The following is a 9,055-nucleotide window of genomic DNA, read 5'->3' as shown; positions in this document are numbered from 1 at the left end:
ATGCAAAATTCTCCACTGCCATTACAAATGACGACACATTGCTGTGCTAAAAGTAGCTACTTAGCATGATGAATGTAACTTGTCATGACCCAATTTGAGGTACAGAATGGACCATGTTCACGATCAGGATGTCCAACATCCTGAGACAACACAGAACCCCAGGGTGGATGTGAGGTTCAGAGAGGCTAATTGAGGCAAGCAATAAGAGGATAAGACTAGTTGAGTCAAATACATCTCCAAGTTCCTGATAGCAAGGACTGTGCCTTGACCATTGCTGCATCATCAGACATTAGTACAATGCTTAGACCAGATGATCCTAATGTATGATTTTGAATGAATGAAGAATTAATGAATGGTAGACAGTATTAGGCCTGGGAAGTGGGCCGATTAGAAAATCTAAAGCACAGTTTCTCAGCAGCAGCACCACTGACATTTTGGCTGGATAATTATTTGTTGTAGGTGACTGTCTTATGCATCATAGAATATTTAGCAGCATCACTGGCCTGTATCTACCTACTCCCATTAATGATAACCAAGAATGTCTCCAGGTATTTCCACATGTCCCTCAGGAGGCAAAATTACCCTCTGTTGAGAAACACTGGTCTAAAGGTACAGAGTAGAATGTTTAAGGCAATTCTCAGAATCAAAGAGGTCTGATAGCAGAATCCCAGACAGGATGGCTGAGGTTTAGGGACAAACTCTAGAAAAGACTTGAGAAATATACAAATCAGTATTCTTCTAGTAGAAAGAGCCCTAACTCAAAGTGGCCTTGAGTAAGCAACAAAAGATAATCCATTAGACTTGTACCTAAAAATTCCAGAGATATGTGATCTTCGGGTATGGCCCAACCTAGGAACTCAAACAATGTCAGCAGGACTCACCTTCTCTTCATTGCTGGACTTTGCTTTCCTGAATGATAGCTCCTTCCTTATGATAGCAAAGTGCTCACCACACTCTATGTCTACCTGCTGCCAGCTCAAAAACCAGCCCTTATAGGAAGAGAGCTTCCCTTTCTCAATAGCTCCTGGAAAAAAAATTCTCACAGCTGAGTCTTTTTGGACTAATTTTGTTCATATGTCCATCTCTGATTCATCAGTTAGGGAATCGATCAGTTGCAGAGCCAACTGAGTGATCAGGTCTGAGTCGTGTGTTCACACCTAGAACAAGGACCAAGAAATGGGGCAATTCCACCCAAAGTACCTGGATTAATATTGGGGGAAGAATGGTTTTCAGAAATAATTCAAGATGATAATATTGATTGGGGTGGCAGACACTCAGCAGACAAAACAGTGTAAGTTACCAACCCATGCCTGAAAATTCTGGGATACTGAACTGGAAACCAAAGCATGGGCTCCTGTGCTAGTATAAATACATAAGCCCAGTTCTGGTCTCAGGGTACAAGCTGCTCCGATGGACTACCATTTATAACTATTTTCTCTGAAACTTTCTTTCCCACATCTGAGTACTTATTAAACATGAAGAGGTTTATGCATTCAAATAGCAACATTTAATCTTTCCCCCTGCCTGGCTCCATTTGCATACCTTGGCTTTCATTCTGCCCTTTCTGAAGATCCTCTGGGGTAAATTCAAGCTTTGAACAGCTCCCCCCAGCTTGATTACTGACACTTTATATTTCCTGCTGCTCACAGACACTGATCTATGGGTCACAGCATAGGATCTGCTAACTGCCAAGGCCAGGTTGAGGACAGGGAAGGGAGACTTGTAGTATCTTCCTCTGGTAGTAAGAGTAAGAGATTTCTTCTTGATTTAGCTAGTAAGCAGTTTATATTCAGAAACAGTGTGACCACCCCTAACAACATTTATAAATTATAGTCTCCCCGATGGGACCATAGGTATTATTTTCATTTGGTTAAGTGCTAATCCCTTTTAAAATCTTACTGAGTGTTTCTCTACAGACTATCTTGTCACATCAGTCTCAAATGACACATCATTATAGGAGCTATAAGAGGACCAGCCACATGTCTATTATAAACTTGCAGCCTTTTAATCTCATGGCATGACAAAATGCAGGCATTCTTCTAGAAACAAGATGAGTCTGCTCAATTCTTATAAGATTAAGGCTATTTTTCATAGAGGGGAAGTTTCTTGAGAATAACAACTTTGTTTGAGGCAACTGCAGTCTACAGAGCCACCAAGCCTTATAATGAAAGCAGTCTAAATTAGGGATCACTCATCAAAGGGTTTTGACTGCTCTGGAGAGCCAAATCTTAGATTCTCTGTGTAAAGCAGTATCTGTAATAAGATGGGAAAGAGATTCTTCAAATGCATGCATTCCTAAATGACAAAAATAGAGTTATTCATTCACAAGTATAATATAAGGATATTCAATGGATTCTAATACCAATTCAGGTTGCTCCTTACTGGAGACCTGACAGCAACTGGGAACTTCTATTGTGATAATTTCCTGGTCTGGGTTTTTCACAGTAGGCAGTTAATCAGACAGGAGGAGGGCAGGAGAGGGTTCTCCTTCCCTCCACCAGGAATGTCAGACAACTATCAGGTGATGGTCTGGCAGTTGTTCAGTTGTCTCTCTAAAATAATAATTGGACACAGCCAGAGCCAGGGAAAGACAGTTTCCCAATAAAAAGAAATACATGAAACTGGCGATCAGCAGCTTCCCAATAAGACCTCAGGAGCTGGGCAAGTGGGCTCAAGCATGTGCACTAACGGGCAAAATGGTGAAGTTTAACTGGTATATGAACACTCAACTCGTAAGGGGAAAATGCCTCAAGTGAGCATGTGTACAACTCAGTAAACACACTGTGCACACAGCATCCCAAGTGCTGGCAGGCTACCAAGTATATGACAGCCCATCCCAAGGGAAGAATCAGGGGAGAAGGGATGCCACCCCCAGGAAGCATGCCAATGTAAAACAAACCCAAGTCAAAGATCGAACCATGAACTTGAATCTCCAAGTTGCCCACTTGGCCCTCTTCCAAGTGTACTTTACTTCCTTTCATTTCTGCTCTAAAACATTTTAATAAACTTTCACTCCTGCTCTACAACTTGCCTTGCTCTCTCACTCTGCCTTATGCCCCTGTTCGAATTCTTTCTTCCGAGGAGACAAGAAGTGAGGTTGCTGCAGGCCCACAGGGATTCACCACTGCTAACAGGTTCCTCTTCCATTTTACAAGCTTGCTGACTGTCTTCAACATATCATATTGATACTTATCAACATATCCTATTGTCTCATTCTATTCTGAGCTAAAGCATTGCATGGCAGTGTACTGCAAAGATTTCAGATTTGTGAAATCACACAAACCTAGTTTTGAATCTTTGTTATGCCTCTTAAAAGTTGTGACCTGTAGTCCATTTCACATCTATTTTCTCATCTCTAAAATATGGGCACACCTATCAGATAGCATTGTGTTGAAGTTTACTGATAAGGTAACATGAAATATTTGGCACAGAGTTGACACTTTACCAATGGTGGCTATTGTATTGTTTCAAGGTCTTTGCTTACTATTTGAAATAGTCCTTAGTTTATGCATCTGCCACTACATAACACTCTCTTTCAAAGTAATCTTTACAGATGCTTTGCCTCTCCAACACCCACAACAAAATGCTGGTTGCCTGCTTTATTTGTTAGCTCAGGGATGACTGGTGTCTCTCTAATCCTATAGCCTCTTCCAACAGAACGCTCTCTGATGCCCATATTGGATCCTTACTTTGGGCAACATAGTGTTCCTCCCTGAGTAACACCACAAAGCATCCTTAAGTAAAACATGCCAGGGACATGATGAATTAACCATTACATGCCCAATATGGTGTTAGCTGTGTAACTGCGTAATGCAATATTAATAGCGAGTAAATGCATGCGTGTATTTGCACATATACGTAGCATAAAACTATGCTGTAATACATACTATAGTGCTATACTACATATATCGGGGCAAAACAGATGCTTTTCTAAGTAAGGACAATCTCCTCTGGGAATTGAGTAATTGAGTTCTATTTGAAGCAGAGCATCACTCACTACAGGACAAAATATACTTACCAAGACCTCTTCACCCCATTTCCTTTTTCTTACTTTGTTACTCCCCAGCTCACTTGTTAAGAAAATACCATTTGCCCGTGCAGAGTAAATAGAGTTAGCTAAAAAACACATCACCAGTAAAAGGGACCTAGACAAAGCTACAAATCTTTAGAGGGTATTTTCCTAGTTCCTTAATGCATACTTAGAATTCTTAGCATCTGATTATGTGGCTTGCTTTCATGGGTGGCCAATCTCACCTTCCATGTGTATATTCAACTCTAAGCTCAAGGTTTTATCTTCTATCATATACCTCATCTTAGAAGATTTCTAAGCAATCTGTTTGTTTAACAAGCATTATTAAGCATTTCCTATGGGTAAGTTTCTATGCTAAGAGTTAAGGACACACACATAAATGAACCACGGCTAGAACACAACACAGAATACAATCATGAAATAATAAACACATGTGCTATAAGTCAAGCAGAAAAACAGCACATCTAATCAGAAACTGAACCTTGTGGGCCCCTTCATCTTAGCTCTAATGCTAATGCTGCCACAGCAGGATAAATGTGGGGGGCATGATCTCAGATATGGTGCTCCAAATAGACATGACATTCCAGGCAAAGGATTCTATTCCTGGCCAGAGAGCTGGCTAAGAAAACAGGGTAAGCATGTTCCCAGTGATTCAGCTGCTAAATGAATCAGAAAGGACCATTGCACTGAGATCAAAGGGTTGATTACACATTACTTCACTCATCTAGATTTTAGTTTCAAGTTTGTCACAAATGATTGTTCATATGTAAAAGGGATTTATGATTATTGCTTTCAGGGTTACTACTGGAGAAGTCTCTGGAAGGTATAGGAGACGGAAACTGAGTTTTGAAAATAATCTCACTTTGCCCCCTTAGCAATCATACCCTTCCCACACTTTGACTTACACACCACAACCATCTTTGATATTATAAAGGTTATTGTTGTTATTGTTGGTTTTTTAGGGTATAAACATTTGTTTTCTGCTTTCTTGCTTTGAAATAACAACTTCTTGCAGTATATTAAATAAGAGCTAAACTAAATTGGTGGAGAAATTGAAATAGGGAGAATTTTTCAGAAATTGCATGTTTAGAAATCCTCAGGTGAACCAGGAGTATAAGAAACCCTGAAGTTAATTCACATAAAGGCATAATCTGTAAATTTACAAAGCTGAACCTCACCTCTACCAAGACCTTTTTTATAAACAGTATAAATCTCAGGTAATACAATTAATTAAGGGCTTAAAACTATTTGTTAAGAGTGTTTGATGGGGGTGTGCAACTTTCTGGTTATAATCAGAACTTGAGAAGCAGGTACAAGCAGGATTTATAGAAAGCAAGACATCCTCCTGTGTTCCAACCTCCAGTCTTTTTTATAGCCAGTGTAGAATTGAAAAAAAAAAAAAAGTCACATCGCTTTGCCTCTATTCAACTCCAGTACACTCTATGTGCCACTCACCAACCCCAAACATTGATTTAGCGCCAACTAAAGTCGAAAAGAAAAGTTTTGAATGTGTCAGCCCATCATCGAATATTTTTAGTGACTCATTATTTTTGTTTGGTTTCTCCCAGAAACGGACCTGAGATAAGGACCAAGAGATGGAGGGAACCCCAGGTGGGGAGCAGGAAAGTGATATGGTGAAGAAAAGGCAGCCACAGGAGTATGTTATAGATTCACCTACCACAGTGGGCAACTGGAGCTTGACCCTATGCAGAAACTCTGGGAAATGGTGCCAAACTCATACTGCAGAACTTTATTACCCTAAATGTTATGGGTTGAATTGTGTCTCCCCAAAAAATATGAGTCCTAACCCCAGTACCTCAGCATGTGGCCTGATTTGGAAATAGGATCATCGAAGGCATAATTAGATAAGATGTGGTCATACTGGAGCAGGATACACCTTTAATCTAGTATGAGTGGTGTCATTACAAGAAGACAATGTGAAGACACAAAGGAAGAACGCCATATGAAGACGGAGGCAGAAATTGGCATTATGCAACTACAAGCCAAGGAACAACAAGGATTGGCAACTACGACCAAGAGCCAGAAAGAGGCAAGGAAGAATTCCACCCAGAGTCTCAGAGCCCTGCATGGCCCTGCTGACACTTTGATTTTAGACTTTTATCCTCCAGAAATGAAACAATACATTTCTGTTGTTTTAGGGCCCCAAATTTGTCAAACGTTGTTAAGAAAGTCCGAGGAAACTAATACACTGAGTGAAGTTACTGATACACTACTTTTCCATCAGTCATTGCTTGAGAACTTCTTCCTGGAGAATAGAGTTAAGTCCACAGTGCCTTTTGACTGTCATGCGTAGGCAGAGCAGATTTTCAAGGTTCCATAAAAGTCCTAAGGCATAGAGTACACATACTGGCAGTTGGAAGTTGACTGAGCATACTAAAATGGTCTAAGGGATATGGGTAACCATCTGTTACTTTCCTATTAGCTGTAAGACAAAAATTTAATTTTTAAGGCTAGAATTCTAGATCCTCCACAATTTGACGCCCACCTACATTTCCAACTATATTCAGGCATCCCTCTACTCAAGTGAACTTTTTTCTTTTCATTTCCTAAACATTTATTGATTTATTTCTTGTTGCTTTGGTGCAGTTCTTATTTCTCTTCTAAGGTTACCTTCACTCTCCATTGCATGTATCCAAATTCTATTCACCCTTTGAGACCCAAATCAATTGCACTTCCTCCACTAAAGATTTAAAATACTACACTCATTTCCACTTCTGAACATTTAAATATTTTCTCTACTGTTTCTCTCACTAAATAATACTACCAACTGGCATTGCTTATGGACCATATTATGTGTACTTTTTTTCTTCCCAACTAGATCATAAGCTAGTCCTGAGAACAAAAATGGGCTTTAATATGGTTTGGTTGTGTCCCCACCCAAATCTCATATTGAATTCCCACTTGTTGTGGGAGGGACCCAGTGGGAGGTAATTGAATCATGGGGGCAGGTCTTTCCTGTGCTGCTCTCATGATAGTAAATATGTCTCATGAGATCTGATGTTTATATAAGGGGGAGTTTCCTTGAACAAGCTCTCTTCTCTTGTCGGCCAACATGTAAGACGTGCCTTTCACCTTCCACCATGATTGTGAGGTGTCCCCAGTCACATGGAACTGTATGTTCATTAAACCTTTTTTTCTTCCCAGTCTCAGGTATGTCTTTATCAGCAGCATGAAAACGGACTAATACAGTAACTTGGTACCAGGAGTGGGGTATTGCTGAAAAGATACCCAAAAATGTGGTAGCAACTTTGGAACTGGGTAACAGGCAGAGGTTGGAATAGTTTGGAAGGCTCAGAAGAAGATAGGAAAATGTGGTAAACTTTGGAACTTCCCAGAGACTTACTGAATGGCTTTGACTAAAAGTCTGATAGCGATATTGACAATAAAGTCCAGGCTGAGGTGGTCTCAGATGGAGATAAGGAACTTGTTGGGAACTGGAGCAAAGGTGACTCTTGTTATGTTTTAGCAAAGAGGCTGGTGCCATTTTGCCCCTGCCCTAGAGATCTGTGGAACTTTGAACCTTAGAGAGATGATTTAGGGTATCTGGTGGAAGAAATTTCTAAGCAACGAAACATTCAAGATCTGACTTGGGTGTGTTAAAGGCACTCAGTTTTATCAGGGAAGCAGAACATAAAGTTCAGAAAAATTGCAGCCTGACAATGTGATAGAAAAGAAAATCCCATTTTCTGATGAGAAATTGAAACTGGCTGCAGAAATTTGCATGAGTAATGAGGAGCTGAATGTTAATCCCCAAGACAATGGGGAAAATGTCTCCAGGACATGTCAAAGATCTTAATGGCAGTCCCTCCCATCACAGGCCTGGAGGCCCAGGAGAAAACGGTTTTGTGGGCCAGGCCAGGCCCAGGGTCCCCGTGCTGTGTGCAGTCCAGGGACTTGGTGACCTGTGGCCAGCCACTCCAGCCATGACTAAAAGGGGCCAAGGTACAGCTTGAGCTGTTGCTTCAGAAGTTGGAAGCTCCAAGCCTTGGCAACTTCCATGTGGTGTTGAGCCTGTAGGTGCACAGAAGTCAAGAAGTGAGATTTGAGAACCTCTGCCTAGATTTCAGAAGAAGTATGGAAACACCTTTTGCCCAAGCAAAAGTTTGCTGCAGGGGTGGGTCTCTCATGGAGAACCTCTGCTAGGGCAGTGCAGAAGGGAAATGTGGAGTCAAAGCCCCCACACAGAGTCCCTATTGGGGCACCAGCTAGTGTAGCTGTGAGGAGAGGGCCACCGTCTTCCAGACTCCAGAATGGTAGATCCACTGACAACTTTAACCATGTACCTGGAAAAGCCACAGACACTCAATGCCAGCCCACGAAAGCAGCCAGGAGGGGAGCTATACCCTGCAAATCCACAGAGACAGAGCTGCTCAAGACCATGGGAACCCACCTCTTGCATCAGCGTGACCTGGGTGTGAGACATGGAGTCAAATGAGAACATTTTGGAGCTTTAAGATCTTACTGCCCCATTGAATTTTGGACTTGCATGGGACCTGTAGCCTCTTTGTTTTGGCCAGTGTCTCCCATTTGGAATGGCTGTATTTAACCAATGCCTGTACCCCCATTGTATCTAGGAAGTAACTAACTTGCTTTTGATTTTACAGGCTCATAGGTGGAAGGGACTTGCCTTGTCTCAGATGAGACTTTGGACTATGGACTTTTGAGTTAATGCTGCTGAAATGAGTTAAGACTCTGGAGGACAGTTGGGAGGGCATGATTGGTTTTGAAATGTGAGGACATGAGGTTTGGGAGGGGCTGGAGGCAGAATGATGTGGTTTGGCTCTGTCCCCACCCAAATCTCATCTTGATTTCTCACGTGATGTGGGAGGGACCTGGTGGGAGGTAACTGAATATTGGGGGCAGGTCTTTCTTGTGCTGTTCTCATGATAGTGAGTAAGTCTCATGAGATCTGATGATTAAATAAGGGGGGGTTTCCCAGCACAAGCCCTTTTCTCTTTGCTGCCATGTGAGATGTGCCTTTCACGTGCCAAAGAGATATCTGAA

This window comes from Homo sapiens, chromosome 3 (genome assembly GCF_000001405.40).
Source record: "Homo sapiens chromosome 3, GRCh38.p14 Primary Assembly".
Lineage (NCBI taxonomy): Eukaryota > Metazoa > Chordata > Mammalia > Primates > Hominidae > Homo > Homo sapiens.
This window is presented reverse-complemented; position numbering follows the sequence as displayed.